The 17,736-nt window shown below is 37.8% G+C and overlaps 1 protein-coding gene across 56 annotated transcripts in view, besides 1 other annotated feature; it reads left to right on the top strand.

Annotated features, from left to right (window-relative positions):
- The window catches only part of ESRRG (estrogen related receptor gamma), a 634,457-nt gene that overhangs the window by 506,573 nt on the left and 110,148 nt on the right, over positions 1–17,736 (top strand). The window lies entirely within an intron of this gene.
- Positions 12,202–12,371: an enhancer, noted in NCBI's record as "experimental_4286 CRE fragment used in MPRA reporter constructs". NCBI's record gives its function as "activates a minimal promoter by MPRAs in K562 erythroleukemia cells, with activity observed for both the introgressed and non-introgressed 1:216792186 variant alleles {active_cell/tissue: K562}" and the evidence as "EXISTENCE:reporter gene assay evidence [ECO:0000049][PMID:34662402]".

Genomic DNA, 17,736 nt, shown 5'->3' with positions numbered 1-17,736 from the left:
CGTTTTTAATGTGATAGAAAAGTATCAGGATTTTTTTTTTTTTTCTTTTCCCTCTGTTTAACCTGATGGACTCAGCTTCCTAGAACAGAAAATGTGTTTCATCATCATTTTTCCCCGTCACTGACAAATCTAAATTTATGTATATTTAAAAAAAGAAAACAGGAACATTTGAAGAGATAAATGCAACACAACACTGACAAAATCTGATGAAAAATCTCACTCTTTTATCTATGGAGAAATTAGGTTTATCATCAGGACAGCATTCTCTTTTCATTTTCTGAAAGGTGCTTTTTGACAGACCCTTTGCAGTGGACGTCACACTCACAAAACATGCTGTCACAGGGCTATTTGAATATGGTGACAGGCTCATTATCATGTTGAAGACTCCTGACAACACTGCAGAGGGGAAATGGACAGGGCTGCCAATCAGCTGTTGAAAAGACTGTGGTTGAAATAGGGTTTTTTGTTCAGAGAACAGTAGTACAAATTGACTGCATTAATTCTTTTTATTATAGCTGTGCACACTATAGTTAAGGGCTCGGGAGGGTTTCCATTATCAACCCCTGTTTTCAGCAGGTTTATTAGCTAACCATAAAAATTTGTTCCCAGCTGAAATTTGGCAGAGGTAGACGCCTTTTCCTATAAGATTTAATTGTGTGTGTGTGTGTGTGTGTGTGTGTGTGTTCACACGCACATGTGCATGCACATGTGTTAGTCTTACTAACAATTTTAAAAATTGTCAAAATGGAGTTTGATGAGCAGGTAGACATGACTTCCAAAGTCTAACTGTAATTCAGTCATCATTCTGTGTTGAAGGGAAAAATAATTCAGGCTGATAGTCTATGATTGTGATTTAGAGCACTGAAGTCTCTCTGACCAGAGAATGAATGAAACAAAATGAGAATGAAAGTAACAAACGAAAATTCATAAATGTTGCTGTCATGAAGCAAATAGTTTTTCATAGCACTTCCCCTAGTATTTATTTGTCATCTAATCCTGACTTCGTGATAAGGAAAGCAACATGTGCCTAAAAGTCAAGTTACTTCCCCAATGTTTTCAGTGACTTCACCAGGGTTTTACTTAAAATGGTGGTGTCAAAAGTTTTCATTTTCGTGGGTAATTTGTGGAGAGGGAGTTGGCCTCAAAAATTACTGTGTATATGTGGCCCTTTTTCTTTTAAAATTTTTACAAGCAAAGAATTAACTTGGGAACATTATTCTAACAGTGTTTGAAGCCAACAATAGATGAGAGGAATTGTAAACTGGCATTTCCCCCCTCTTAATTTGAGCTCTGTGACTGTGGGTATGATTTGGTATTTTGCCTAAGTCTCCACCCCAAGGACACCAAAACAAAATCATCAAATTCTAACCTTCACATAAAGCAAGGGTATTTCTGTTCTTAAGTTTTGCATAACTGTTTCTAATGATCCCTGTTCTATTCAGTGCGCAAGTTACTTCCTGGTGGTAAGACACTTCAGGAACCCACAAGAGGAACATTAATTCTCCTCTGCCATTTGGTGTATTGCAGCATCTACACACTTGATTAGAGTCTGCTCTGGTGAAAAAAAGTTAGCATTCCTATATAAGAGCCAAATTCTCCCCAGGGAGTGACTTAGATATTGGAGTTAATAAGTCCAATAGGGAAATTTTACTTATTTTTCATAGGTATTCCATTCTGACTTGACTTGCTAACTATGTCTTAAATTTGCTTCTCAGGGTGGTGTCTTATATCCATATAAACCCAATGGGCAAAATTATGTGGCTTTTATACTTTATGCTTAAGAAAAAAAAATCTTTCCTTCCCACTTTTGTCTTTAATAAAACAACCCTGAAATTTTCCACTGTCAGCTTATTGGTTTATGTGCTGATGTTTCTCTCATGTCTTGGTTTCATTCCTTCCTTTATACATTGACTTATTTAGCAAAGATATATTGACCATCTCTTGTTCCAAGTGGTAATCTAGGTGATGGAGAGTTCTAGGTGAACAGGAGTTTGAAGAGTTTGCCATATAACTGGCTGTGGGGTATAGGACAAAGTGGCATGGGAGCACAAAGGAAGGGCATCTGTCCTAGTCTTGTGATGTGCAAAGTGAGACCTGAAGAATGAGCAGACATTAACTCGTGAAGGGTGGAGGGAAAGAGAGCAGATATTCCAAGTGGAGAGGTCAGTCATTGCACAAGCTCAGAGGCTGAGAGAGAGTTTTGCTCCTTCGAGGAAATGAGAGTTGTTACAAATGGCCAAAGGGTCATGGATGATGTGAAGAAGCAGGTTACTAGTGATGAAGATGGAGTCAGGGACTTGATAATGAAGGATCTTGAAATCAATTTAAGGGTTTTGGACTTTGCCTGAGGTTAATGAGAAGTTTTGAAGGTTTTGCTTTTTCTTGTTTGGGATCATATTAGATTTATGTTTTAGTAGGAACACTATGGCTACAACTTCAGGGAATGAATGAATGAGCCAATGGTGTTGGCATCAGGGTAGGGTATGCCTAGACTTGTTGTCATTTTCAGAATGAATTTTATTTCTTTCCTTCCTAGTTGATTTCTATGATCTTTCTGTCCCCAATCAAATTTAAAAATAAGACTTTTTATTCATTTGATGATAATAATTGGCCCCATGTTTATTCACATATTTCTCAACTCCAGAAGTAAAATCATAAGGGAATCTACTCCAAATTGGCTGTTAGCTTGAGTCTTTAGGATTTGATCCTTGGCCAAGCACAGTAGATCGCACCTCTAAACCCAGCTAGTCAGGAGGCTGAGAAAGGAGGTTTGCTTGAGCCCAGGAGTGCAAGTCTGCAGTGAGCTGTAATTGTGCCATTGCACTCCAGCCTGGGTAATAGAGTGGGACCCTGTCTCTAAAGTGAATGAATGGATGAACAAATAAATAAATAAAGATTGGATCCTATCAGGTTCAACAGAGTTATTTGTATTCATTGAGTGTACACTGGAAGTATAGAAAGGACATGAATTAATATTTGTGGCTCTAGACTCTAAGATACTTTCTAGACCTAAAAATCCATTATTCTAATCATGAAGATATCATACTTAGATTCATCAGGATACATCTGAAGAAAGTACACCATCAAGCTCTAAGTTGATTGTGTAGTTCATACGCATGAATATTGTAAAATAACTGTCTAGATAGAGGAATATATGTTTTCCAGAGAATCATACCCATGCCTTTGTGATGAAATTAATTTTCACATGGTTCCAAGTATACCTTGCATACTGTAAATACAAAAACAAGCATAGGAATACTTTCATTCTCCTAATAGTTTAACTTTTGTCATTCAGTACAAGAAAAAAAAAATAAACTTCTTAATGGTCCCTGGAGCATATTTCACAATTATCAAATAATTTACATTAAGAAGACTATGCTAACAAAGCTTAAATAACAGAGAAAATAATCATTTGCCTTTTATTTCTTGATGGAGTAGCCGTTTTTGAGCCTAATGCTGCCATTGGATTGAACATGTTTCCACTTTCTTCACATAAGCATGCTCGTGGAATTCTGGTTTCTGTCCAGGTATTTGGGAAATGATACTTAACTTATCTATCAAAGGTTAAAGTTTGGTTTTGTTTCAATGTTTATATCTTGACCCTGCGCAGCAAAGTAGAGTAAGCAAAGCTGGCACCATACTGTAAAAATCAGCATTCCACTAGATGGAGCAGAGTGGAAATAGAACTAAACAGGACTGAGATGTGTTGAGGAAGCCGAGCTGGCATCTCAGAGAGTAAAAACCAGATACAATGTGACCAAAAAGAAAAGGAGGGGAATTCAGGAATGGGGTGCATGGGAGGTAGAGGCAGAGGGACCTGGTAAAAGAGAAAGGATTGAGTGACCAGGAAATTTATACATTTTAAAAAATGGCACCTATGAATTAAGAGGTTTCCAAGTTTACAGATACAATCTTAAAATTTGTAGCTACAAACTAGTTATTCCTATCTGGATTCGAGATGTTTATTATTGATTTCTACAAAGAACAAGGCTCTCCGTATCAAATCATGCCATCATAACCATATGTAACATTTCTTCCAGTTCTGGAAACAAGTCCCTTGAAAATGGGTTAGAAAATCTGCTTTGGAGGATTTCCTTGCCGTTTAATAGACTTTAGTGGTCACAAATTCCAGAAATACTGCTTATCTTATACTTTAGGTCTTTTAGGTTCTGGCAGAGCCCTGGGCACAAAGATAGAGAAAAATAAACCTTAGCTCCATGGAATAACTTACAGTGCTGTTACTTTTGATTCTAATCTATTTGGCTATCTATGCCCTGACTCTCTCATTTTTAGAACAATGAGTCAGACTGCAGTGTGGCCAAGGGATAAGGCAGCGGGCAAGGCCAGTTACAAAGATACCAGCGAGGAACCTCCTGCAATAATCTAGGGTAGAAACAACGACAGACTGAAATAAAATATTAGTCCTGCCTTGAAAGAAGTGAACAGAGTGGGGAGGTAGTAAGACAGAGGAATGCACCAAATGTGGCGGGAGGGTTGCTGGACTAGGACAGGGACAGGCATCTCTGACTGTCAATGGTGCTGCATTTCACTGCCCCAGGGCACCCAAGATGAATGGGATTTGGGGAGTGAAAGGGGAGAAGGTATGCATATAGCTTTTGAAGTACTGAGTTGGAAGTGCGATAGTGGAGCCACAGTATCCAGTAGGCAGGATGGTGTGCTAGAAGAGATCTGGACTGCAGATGAAACTGTGGAAGCTGTCAGTGTTTGGATGGGAATGAAAGATAGAAGTCATGGGAAAAATGCTTTAAAACACAAGATGGGAAGTGAGTTCAGGACAGAATCCTGGGTTTGCTGATAATAAGCCGAGGGTAGGAGAAGAGGAATTTAAAGGAGATGAAGATTGGAGTTGTAGGAAGAAAACCCAAGAGAACGTGGTATTGCAGAAACTCAAGAATGGAGATTTAAGGAAGAAGTAGTAAAAAGAAATGTGAAGCACTGCAGAATTGTCAATAAGGAAAACTGAAAATATCACTGGGATTGCCAACAAAGAGGTCAAAGCTGATTTTGGCAAGAATGGTTTCATTAGAATGGTGTGGGCAGAAATCAGGTGCTTTGAGGAATGCATGGGATGTCATGAAGTAGAAGTAATGAGAATGAACAACTCTTTCCTCCAACTGGATTGTGAAGGGGAAGAAAAACAGACAGAGGGAGTGAGAGAGGAGTCAGAGAGAGAAAGGCATACGGAGACAAAGATAGAGACAGTAAGACAGGGAGAGATATAGGAACACAGAAAGACACAGAAAGAAACAGTGGATAGTGGCTAAAAGAAATACATAATTACTGAAAATAATTGAGTGAGTAAAATGCCATGTCCACCTCTAAGCACTGTATATGTATGTAGAAGCTCATTTGATTCTTATAACAACTGTATGAAATAGATATTATTATCCCCATCTTACAGATAATGATGGACACGAAGACACAGAAGTTAAAAGGCTTGCCTGAGCTCATATAACTTTTAAGTGCTGGAGATGGAATTTGGAGTTGAGCAGTCTACTCCAGAGTTTGAATCTTAATTACTACAATATATTGCTTCCTATGTTATCATCTCTAGACACCTGGAATTTAGTGTTTGTGTAGGGAAGCATGATGTTTCCAGGTGAAAATAGGAAAAGCAAGACGTTATTATAAGGATCAACTTCATATGGAGAACAAGTGTTAATATAGATTTTTTTTTTTTTTTTTGCCAAATGAGCATCAGTAAAGAGTTTTCATAAGTAAAGTGAGGACAAAAATGATCAAATGGTACTATTGGGACATTTGGTAGGTGATAAGGATTGATAAGCAGGGTGGACCCAGTTTAGAGAAACATTAGAATAGATGTGGTAGTTAAGAGTTAATATAACAACAGTTTTGAGCCAGTACGTGTTTCTGAGAAAGGAACAAAGCTATTATTATTGTTATTATTTCATGAATACTAATCCTGTAGAAATAGTAGAATTAGATGAAAGGGGAAAGAGACAGTTCATAATTGGGCTAAAAGAGGAGACAGTTTCATTGGCCCACGTATAAGATGATCACTGTCTGAGGGTGGTAGCATTCAGAGTTAAATCTGACAGAGTCTGTTATGAAAGAATTGAGATATTTGGTGAGCATTTTGAATGAAGGTTCAATGAGGGGAACAACGTAAGACAACTCAATTATTTCAGAGAAACAAAGTAGGGTACCAGAAGCCAAGTAACAGAATTGAGGAAATTGAGAGTAGAAACTCGGATGAGAAGAAATAGTAATTTACTTAATTAATATTTAGAGTACTTTCTCTGTTTCTTATAAGCCCTCTGATAAGTACTGAACTTATATTCATCATGAGTTTAGTTAAGGTATGCTGGGTTTTAGGTAATAATGGGGTGTCCAAATCAAAATGACTTAGAAGCAGTTAAAAATTTGAAGCTTGAATTTGGGTGAGACTTTCAGGGATGGAGATATTAACCTGAGAACAGAGGCATAAAGATGAAGGTTCGGTTATGTATTAGCTCACGAATAGCCTAAACTGAGAAAGAATGGCAGTTTTTTTCCCTTTGTCTCTGTGTGATTTTCCATGTGGTATTGAAGGCAGGTATGCTGAATATTCATTTCAAAAGATATTATCTGTTCCAGGTAGGGCGTAAAAATGATGTCTTGATCAGCTGTCATCAAATATCTCATGACACTTTTTTAGAGTTAGCACTTGGACCTGAGGGTCATGGCCACAGTCTACTGTAGGGTCATTGTTTCTTACCTCTGGGATATTTTGACAGGTTTCTTAGAGGGCTGGAATTATTTCTGTCCTAAACTGTCTACTATTATTAGACACCGTTAAGTATCTGAATGCTTTTTCATCTTTGCAATGATAATTGAACACAGTAACAGAAACTCACAGTATTGCTGGAAATGAGCAAAGACATGTTTCTATTCATGTTCTAGGAATTTATTCCTCTTTGGCCTTTTAGAGCTCTAACACTCTCCTGCCTATGGCTTAGGGAGAAAGAGACCAAGGCCGGCCTTTGTTGATTGCTCATGGGTTTTTTGTGCCTCCCTGGGTATTTTTCTAGGTGTTAGTGGGAACCATATTGGCTTAGTGTATCTTAGAGGAAAAGAGAGTGTTCCAGATCTTTTCCAAACATTATTGGTCTTAGGTATGGACTTGGCTAGTAGAGTTTGAGTCATAAATAATGATCCCACTGGTGTAGTACATTTGGACCACCTGAATATATGCCCTTGAGTGCAATCAATATCTGCTCTCGGTGTAGACCTGTCTTTGTTCTATATTTGTTTGTGTTTCTGGGCATTTTGCTATGTATGCACACACATGGGCATTTTCCTTTCATGCCCATTCCAGCCTGTATACAACTCTAGCAAATCCTCAGTATATTTTTCATATTTAGTTATTATTAACTTTAACACCATTTAGAGGTTATGTCTCCTAGAAAGGTCGGTATTTAACGTGACATTGGGTAAGTTTTCAGTGCTACATGGTCTAGTTATTCTTATCAGTATTTGTAAGCATTTGGCTAGCTTTGTTTTATGTTTCCTTACACCCTCAGAAGTTGATAAAGTAACTCTTCAATTTCCTTGGTCCCTCAATAGTATAGTTTTGTCACTGGTACCTTTTCTCTTTGCCAGAAGAACAGGGGCAGGGAATATTTTATGTTGGTATGTTCTGGTCTCCACATGTGGGTGTGTTATTTACAGGATGCAGGAATTTAGTGCGATAAAAATGGTATAACCTATATGGGTGATGCTAATCTATATAATGCTGCAAGCAGTATCTTCCCTGTTCTATGTATCATATTTGTTCTTAAAAGTTAGAGTTTAGGTCAGGAGATCGAGACCATCCTGGCTAACATGGTGAAACCCCGTCTCTACTAAAAATACAAAAATTAGCCGGGCGTGGTGGTGGGCCCCTGTAGTCCCAGCAACTCGGGAGGCTGAGGCAGGAGAATGGCGTGAACCCAGGAGGCAGAGCTTGCAGTGAGCCGAGATCGCGGCACTGCACTCCAGCCTGGGTGACAGAGCGAGACTCCATCTCAAAAAAAAAAAAAAAAAAAAAAAGTTTAATGATTTCAGCTGATGACAGTTTTAGTCATAAGTTGCATTGAACTGTAACTACAGAAGTAAATATTTTGTACTTCCAGAGGAAAAAAGGATGAATATTTTAAACATGATGATATCTTCTATAAGAACTGTTTAGCTTACTTCACATGGTTGTATCTCCCTTTTTCCTTTATTTCCATATCTCTAATAAATGCTAATCCCATCTAAAAATAGAGAGATTCCTTTCAAAATATACTAGTAATTTATTTTCAGGCTTCATATGCTCAAATTAATGTAGAGTATTTTGATAAAGAAATGTGTAACCAGAGTGGTTGATACGCATCTAAATTTCTTCTTCAGGAAAATTCTGAGCTTATAAACTGAGTTTACAAGAAGCAGAACACTGATAAAAGGCATGCCCTACCAATGAAATAATTAGATGCACTATCTTATGGGAAGCGTGTGTGTGTGTGTGTGCGTGTGTGTAATTTTCATTTGTTTTCCATTGGAGCTACTTAATAAAAAGAAGAAACATACCTTTCTCTTAATATCATAGTAAACAAAATTTTTACAACGTGTAGGCCATTCTAACATGTGAGGGAATTTCAAGTATGGAGTCTGTATTCCTAAAGGGCTGAAGGTTCAGTTGAGAAGGATCAGAGAATGCCTAAAAGAAAACTAATAATTCAAGAAAGCAGAGATGAGTTTCCATTTAAAATGGCAGGCACCAGCCATCAGGGTTCGGTTCCTGAACTGATTTAAGATGACCAGAGTGTTTTAAGCAGTCCTTTGGAAGTGAAATTTCTACTGTTCTTAAATAAATGTTAGTTCTTAGAACTGCAGAGGTCAAGACAAAGGACTTTCTCCATTGAGGTCATTGTGGTCAAATGAAGCCTCAGAAGGATAACTTTCATGGTGTTTTCCTGATATAGTAAGTATCATTTTGGCTAGAGTCAAGTTTTTGTAAAAGGCAGAATTTGGAGCTAAGGATAGAGAAGTAGATACGATCCAGCTGATGGAAGGTGTTGCTTGAATTCCATGCCAACTATTCACTCTGTAGTTTGTAGACAGTAGTCATCCAGCTCAGGCCTTTGTGCAGGGAAGTCACAAGTGCACGTCTGTGATGGCAGAAAGGAGAGGATAGGCGCAGTCTAGTAAGCACATCACTGCAGATACACAAAGTGTCAAACAATGAGGGCCCTCATCAGATTGGTGGCAGTGGGCCTAGAAAGGGAAAGATGGACTTGAGAAACATTCCTAAGGCAGAATTAACCTGACCCAGTGCCTGACTGGATTTGGGAATATTGTTGGAAGGAGCAATAATCACTTCATGAGGAAAATCAGTGGAGCCATCTGTTGCAATAGACTAATCCCCATATGCCATCAGTCTGCAGTTCTGAACAGCAAAGCCAAGATGACTTTGGAGAGTAAAATTTTGTCTTCAGTGGTTGATGGCCTGCCCCAGATGGCCTGATCAGTCATGGGGCATTCAGTTTCCTCAAGATGACAATGTAGAAATGGGACTATGGACAACTTGAGATGTTGACTAGAGATGAGGAGTATCAGAAGGAATCCTTTCTTCTAAGGGGCGTGGCTTTACCATCACATACCCAACACATGTGGGCTAAGATCTTTCTCCATCTCCTTTTTCCTTACCTAGCAACAAATGGGCTGCAACCAACAGTCATCTTTTGATTCAATGTATGGAACTGACAAAAATAATTACTCTGTGTGGCTCTTGATATTGCACATCTTTGTCAAAATTCTTTTAAGCACAGATCACTGGGATGGTTCTTTTAGTAGTGCCATGAACTAGACAGGCATAATTTTCCAATAAAACATGAAGAAAAAAATGTTTAAATTGGATAATAAACTGAATTTTTGCCCATTTCGATAGGGTAGGTCAAGGTTAGTACTTTGAATGTGTTAGCCTAGAATAAGTAAGCAAAATTTTATACATAAATATCACTTATTTGCCACTTACATTAAGCTTCTACTGTGGATACATATCTGGGGCTGCTTCTAGGATCTTATCCATATTCATTGGATGTTGTAAAAGCAAAATGGGATGGGAATCTTCATTGGAAAACACCCTGCATCTTGACGTCTGGTGTCCAAACATGATGTCAATATTGATATTATCTCAAGGGATAGCAGATTTCAGATTGGTAAGCCAAACATATCTAGAGATTAATTCCTTTTTCTATATCATTCAAAATACTGCTTTGCCTTGAACTATTTTCTTAAAACAGAGAATATTTAAGTAGCAGAGATGTTCCAAATGGTAACTATAGACACAGTTCAAAGGACAGTGGATAAGGGTATATTGCCACCTATCAGCAATGCACCTTCTTCTAAATACTTACATATTTTTTCTCTAGGTCAAATAAAATATGTCTTAAGCATCGTCCTGGGTCACATATAAATGACTAAACCCCTTATTCATTTTGTTACCACAATGCAATGTGAATGAATTAGAGGTGAAGGGAGGATTGGCTTATATTAGTCAATGACTCCAGCTCACCAAAGTGCATGCTTATTGTCACAATTAGGCCTCATTAATTCTTTTTATAGGTTTGCCAGTCCTTAAGTGGTATATCCTTCTCCAAACTGTTTTTGAGAAAATGAACAATGGAATAAATGAGTGGATGAAAAATTAAGTAGATAAATAGGATTCTCTGAGGGCAGTGTAACAGTTAAACTAGCAAGTTGGTCCTGTGGTGGTGGACGGGTCTAAAATATATTAGATAATACTGATGGTTTACAATTAGGGCTGACCACATGTTCTAAATGCTTTACACGTATTAAATCATTTCATCCTCAAAACAATGCTATGAATTAGATACGATTTTTAACCCATTTTGTGGATGAGAAAATTGGGGAACTGAGATATTAGATAATTTGATCAGAATCACATAGCTGGTAAGTTACACAGTAGGGATTGAAACCCAGAAATTGGCTTCTGAGCCTGGACTTAAAAAAACTACACTATATTCTTTGCTATTAGAGTGTGGAAGGCTCCTAAGTTATAGGAAAAATTTTTCTCTACATGTATTTATGTAGATTTTTAGTACCTAATAACAGGATTATGTTTGACTTGTTGAAATTTCGAGAAAGATCATAGACAGAGAAAGTGTGTGCTTTCAATCTTCTTGACTCGGTGTTGCCTACTTAGAGCTTTTCTAATTCACATTGAATAGGCATATTAGTTTGAAAACATTTTAAGGCATTTTACTGACTAGATATTTGTAGTTCAGCTTGACTCTCCTGGCCACATGCATTGGGTGTACTCCGTGGATTATTCAGTTATCAAGTCAATTCCTTAGGCATCTGTTAAGTCTTCAACTAAACAAACCATTCTATGTTGTGAAAAATACAATTGGATTTTAATGTTAACCTCAAAAATTATGGTTGGGAAGGTAAGCAGGCTTCAGGAAAAGGACCCATATATTACTTGTGGTCTTTTGTCTCCTGTCACTGTTGCATATATTTCAGAACATAACAATATTTGTAGCTTAGTATTAGATACCGTTTCGAAGAGAAAAAAATACTGCCCTTCCTGGAAAGCTCTTACGGCTGCCATATGAATTGTTGCTCAAGCCTACATATTTGAAAGCCAATGAAGGTAAGAGATCTTACTTCCCATTTCTTTGAAGAGAGGAAGCAGGAACCATGAAGATAATGGGCTGTTTGATGAATTGGTGATCCACAATAGAATGAAGGTGGCCCCCAATATTTCCAATGATGTCTTTTCTTTGCCTATTTAGATAGACTTCTGGAAACATCATTTGACATTTTGTTTTGTATTTAATATTTTTAAATAAATTTCTGATTATAGGAATCATTAATGTTCCCTCTTCCACACATGTGAGCATGCACACATGTGCTTAAGCATGGACACACATACACATTCCAACCACCAGAACTGTGCAATATTAGGAAGTCTTTCCCTTCTCTGATTTCATAACATTAGATGTAGTTGTAAATGCATTAAACAAGGAAAAGAGCTAAGAATGCATATGTTGGTGTGACTTTTGTATTCATCATGGGATCTGGTGGAGCTGAATGCCTCGCCAAATTAATTTGCCACTCATGAGACTCAAATTCTGACAAAGCCTACAGGGTTCTAGTGGATGTATTTGCCAGTAAATCACACGTGCCAAGGAAACCACAGTGACCTGTGTCAATGGCATGGGCTGTTCTCAGTAGGCTTGGTCGTTGACCCCAGGCCACCCATCTTCTCTGAGTGCCTACATATATCTCTCTTTGAGAATTTCAGTGACCTACTGTTCACTCAAGTTCATTGAATTTACAGTGATCACTCCTAACCTTAAACATAGAAGGCAAAGAAAACAAATCACACCATTTTTTTTGAGGTTTATGCTCTCCCCTGGATTAGGAAAATTTCGAAAATTATTTTCTTTAGCATTCTAAGATGCAGTGAAAATCAACTAAGATGCTAAATATCAAAATTGTTAAGGGCTACCACTTGCATAAATACTGTCAAATATTGAAAATGAAAGTAAGCCACATAATGTATACATACGGATGTCTGAATCGTTATATACATATTACTTATTTATATATATGTAAATTAGGTAGATGAATATGTAAGATTGTAGCTGAACAAAATAGGACATGGTACCAAATGAGGCTAAGGTGGCAGATTCAATTCCTGTATAACCTACCTAGTTAATTCTGTTCTTTATTCATAGATTGAACCCCTGATTCTTAGTCAGATCTTGTATAATGTTTATAATGTTGCAGCTGGTCCAAAAAGGCAGTGTGAATGAATCAGTGCAACTCGCCCCACTATTGGGAAAACACGCAAATCTATCAGGGTATATCCATAATATATCTGTTCTTTTGAGGGCAAGTGTAATTTTACTCTCAAATTCAATGTGTGATTTTGATATTACTATGTGAGTCTTGTTAAAATATGTAAATAGGGCATTTGCTAAACTGTCTTTATTCAGTGTTCTTTTAAGTGATCATAAAATTTTAATGACTATTATTACTGATACTCTAATAAGTACTTCAATGAATTTTTTGATGGTTAAATATAATTTGTATGTTACTCTAGAATCTCAATATGGGGATTTTAATATTGAAGCATTACCGTAAAATATTCATGCCATCAACCTTCCATATTGCTGTACCATAGAATAAATGCATGTTGATTTGAACTTAAATCTTTCTGACATCCAATGGTTTGGGTATCACAAAATCTTGTAAAGCATTAGCCATTCAGCTGAGGGAAAGTGACTTGCATTTTCAGAGTATTTATAAATTGATGTTAAAAAACATTTTATTCTAGTCAAGCAGGCTCTTGCTTTACAGTCTAATTTTGGACATATATGTGGGTTACTTAAATAGAGAGATAACATTAATCTTTCAGGAGCAACAAGTGCTGGGTGGGGTTAAGGCCAAGAGATTAGCATTTCTGTTATCAACATGCTATTGTTGGACTTAAGTACCACAATATATGATCATTGCAGAATGTTCAAATAATTTAGATTCCTTTGAACTCTGCTGTATGATACTACATTTCCTCACATCGTAAGTCCCCATCCTCAACTTTTTTTTTTTTTTCTAAAGGCCAAGCAGCAATTAGTAGGAAATGTTACATCTAATATGCCTATGATTTGCTTGAGGCCAAACAAAGCAGCTCATGATACTGCGTTGCTGCTGCTATTTATGTAGACATTAGGCACAGGAGCAGGTTTTTAACAATAGGACTGCTTGGGCTTTATGTTACACATCAAGAAACATTTTGTTTATGCTTTATAAATAGTGTCACCTATTTATAACCTTCAGCCACGATTCTTTTAATGGCATTCTCAAGTGGCGTTTGGTTTGGTTAACATCAGCCACTCATGCCTTCTGTTCTGTTGCTTGAGAAGTTAAATGGGAATATGTGAGTTTTAGCTGGCCAATCTAATAAAACTCTGGGAAATCGTTAGGGTAAAGGAAGTTAAGCTATAATTGACATCATATAACAAACATTGAAAATGTTGAAAAGAAACAGATTGGATGAGTTTTATATTATGAAAATGTCATCTGACAGATGCAGTACAGTAGTTTCATTTGAAAAGATCTCTACATACACTGAGTCTTCTATTCCATTAAAAGAAGAAAAAACCCTGAGGTGACAGGAGATTCCTATGGGGGATTAGCTGTCTATGCATATCTCAGGGAATCTTTGGGGGACATTTATTCTCATCTTGGAGGTAGAAGGAAGATTTTAAAGTTAATAATATTTCTGCCACCCTACTCTTTCCTCCCGTTGTGCTTACAGGCAAAGGTGAAAACCTGCCCTGTATCTCCTGTGTCTAATGGAGAATCTACATCAAAAGCAGGAAGTGCTTTTAGAGATAATAGAGAGAAGAGGGAGGAAAGTGAGATCAGCTCAGTGGTTTGTGGCGGCCTATAAAATCAGCAAAGGCCTTTACAGAAACAGGAGCCAGACAGAACTCACAAAAAGTAAAGGATGTAATCTGTTCACAAATGCAGCCAGTTGGCAAGCCTGAATGACTGCCCTCTGTCATCACAGTAGGTACAGATCAACACACAATCCTAACACATTTGCATTTATAAACAAAATGTAGAGAAATCGATGAGAGAAAGAGGGAAACAAATCAACCTTTCTAAAATTTTTTTAATCAGACACGCTTGTTTTTTAGTCTGGCACTTTTTGATTTGAGAAAGATAATTGTGAAGAGGACATTAGCTAAAGCTGCGTTTTTCTATGTCACTGCGCCCATTCCCCCAAATGGTTCAGAGTAGAGCATGTATCTTGAATTTACTACCAATCTCCTGGTAGGCTTTCACTGTTAACAAAAGCCACCTGCACCCACGGGTTTGGGTAGCTTTGAGGTAGTTACTTTCCAAGTCTCTGTGGGCACACAGTAGTGACAGCCAGGATCCAGTGGACCCTCTTCTGTGATCATCCACCACAGCGACCCTAGTATAATCCCAACACATTGGGCTTAGGACCTGGAGCCTTCTTATATGGGGTGAGATGCTTTATCCTGGCTATAGAAAGCAAATGACTGACACCCACAATGTGATCAGGCTGAGGTGGAGACCTTGCCTAGAAATAGGCAAGGTTGGCTGGGCCTGGTGCTCACGCCTGTAATCCCAGCACTTTGGGAGGCCGAGGCGGGCAGATCTCCTGAGGTCGGGAGTCTGAGACCAGCCTGACCCATATGGAGAAACCCTGTCTCTACTAAAAATACAAAATTAGCTGGGTGTGGTGTGGGTGCCTGTAATCCCTCCTACTCAGGAGGCTGAGTCAGGAGAATCTCTTGAGCCTGGGCGACAGAGTGAGACTCCATCTCAGGAAAAAAAAAAAAAAAAGAGAGAGAAATAGGCAAGGTCTGCTGGTCTTATGGACAGTATTTCTTCTTTCCACATATGGGTAACACTAGAGTGAGGACAGCATTAAAGCCTGGAGAGGATAAAAAGGTCTATGATGGTAGGGGGAGATTAATGTTTCTCACAATGCCATATACCAAACACAGAGTTGACTTTTCAGTACCAGCTGACCACTCTGAAATGCCAAGAACTGGGGTCTTCCCTGTAGCTAGCTGGGCTTCTGATGCAAAGTTATTAACAGAGATTGTACGTCATGCAGGAAAGCTACCTTAAAACATGTGTAAACAAGCCCTACGTTAAGGAAATAGACCAGGGTGAGTAGACTAACCTACAGAATGAGCTCCGTAGTAGAAAAATATGCCAAAGAACTTGAAAGTATAACCCGATTTCTTTAGGAAAGAAGTGCTCAAAGAGTCTAGATATATTTTTGTTCTTTGTAAGCAAAGTTATTTCAGAGTGATTTCCCTGAAGGTTGGTGTTAACCTGCCTAAAGGTTTGTGGTCAACAAAAGTCTTTTGAAAAAGCTCCTCAGTCACTTTGAAGTAGGAAGTCAATGCCTGTTCTGAAATGTGACAGGCTCATCACCCCCAGACAGGTCTGAATAGAGTGGAGGCATAAGAGAATCAACTCTCCCTGCCATTCTAGTAGTTAAAAATACTAGAAACTATCTTCAATCAGTCTCTTGAATTTTTCATTTTACTCCTTATGACCAAGCCGCCTAGAATAACCTAGCAGATTATATAATTACAACACACATAGAGGTCTGCTCATTTATCTGGGCCTTGGGTTCTATTGTGCATTTCTCCATTATTTCCCATAGTCAGTATTTTTTAAAGCCTGGCAATAATGTCAACTTCAGTAAGTTAAGATGCTGTGCTCCCTTCGCTGTTTATGCTTTGGTTCCTTATTAAATGCACCAGCTAAACAGAAAATGCGGTATAAATATGTTTCATGAGTCATTTAAGGATTTAGCCAAGAGACATTGCAATTGACTTTTGAGTCCATTTTTAGAACCAACTCTTTCAAGACTCTTCTCAACAGGAACACTTCCCCCTGCACTAGAACTGACAAGACTGTATGCATTACTTTATTTTGATACTGACATTTAAACAATAAAATAAAGCCATTTAAAACAAATAGTAGTGCTTTAAGTGTCTGGGCTGTCAAGATATCAAATTATATAACTTGGAAAAAATCAGAATTCATTGTTAATGGTATGCACTTAACACAAAGGGTCGCTGGAGTACTCACCAGATATATATTCAGCTACCATGTTGGAGCTAACAGGCTGTATTCCTTTAGATAGAATTGACTATATTCACTTAAATGGACTTGACTCTAGTACAATCACTGTATTCAAATGTCAAAAAAAAAAGAGAAAGAGGATGTCACAGAGGGTCACAAATTATGTTGGATTTTGACAGATTGTAGCCTTGCTTTACAAGAGCAGTAACATCTCATTTGTCACCGTTTGATCTGTAAGTGCGGGAATGGGAGCGGAAGGCCCTCCATCTCCGCCACAATTTAATCGCTCTGAGGCCGAGAGTGGTGGTGGGAGCCACCTGCCCATGCACTGCACTGCTGATCTGTTTTAATTTAATCGTCCGTCAGCTAGATGAAAGCATAAATCGTCTCTCTTTGATCTGCAAAATGGTGTGTTTTTGTAAAGCAGGGTGTGGAAGTCAGGGAGAAGGGACTTACAATTTAGTGCAGCTTGGACAATGTGGCCCTACGAAGACACCAAAGTTGCAAATCAAGCAAAGACTCTCCCATGAAACTTAGGACAAAGCGGGGAAAATGGCAGAAGGAAATCTATTTGTGTTAAAGGTTAACAATAAGATAAAAGCTTTGTGCATAAGATATTATTCCAGAAAACTAAAACTAGTTCTCCTATTCATATCCATCATCTTTCAAATATATTTTCCATTGTTAGTTTTCGAACGTTGGCTTCAAGAGAAGAAAAAGAAGAATGATAAAGGAATTTTTATGTTGCCACTGTGAATGGTCAGCATTATTAATGTAACCTGAAGTTTTCTAAGCAGGATGTGAACAGTAAAATACAACGTTGTTAAAATTGGTATACGTAGAGAGGCACACACTTTTGAGTAAAACAAATGATGTAATGGTTGAACACAACAATGTTATATCACAGTAGTTATTATGAGGCTTTACGTGGTCTCATACGTAAAGATTTTAAGGTGCTTTCCACGTCATTTTGTGGTCAATTTCCCAGAATTACAGATAATGTATTTTTATAAATAAAGAGGGAAAAACTTATAGCACCTCTGCCAAAAATAATTTGGGTCATGAAGAATTGTAATAAAC

This window comes from Homo sapiens, chromosome 1 (genome assembly GCF_000001405.40).
Source record: "Homo sapiens chromosome 1, GRCh38.p14 Primary Assembly".
Lineage (NCBI taxonomy): Eukaryota > Metazoa > Chordata > Mammalia > Primates > Hominidae > Homo > Homo sapiens.
This window is presented reverse-complemented; position numbering and strand designations above follow the sequence as displayed.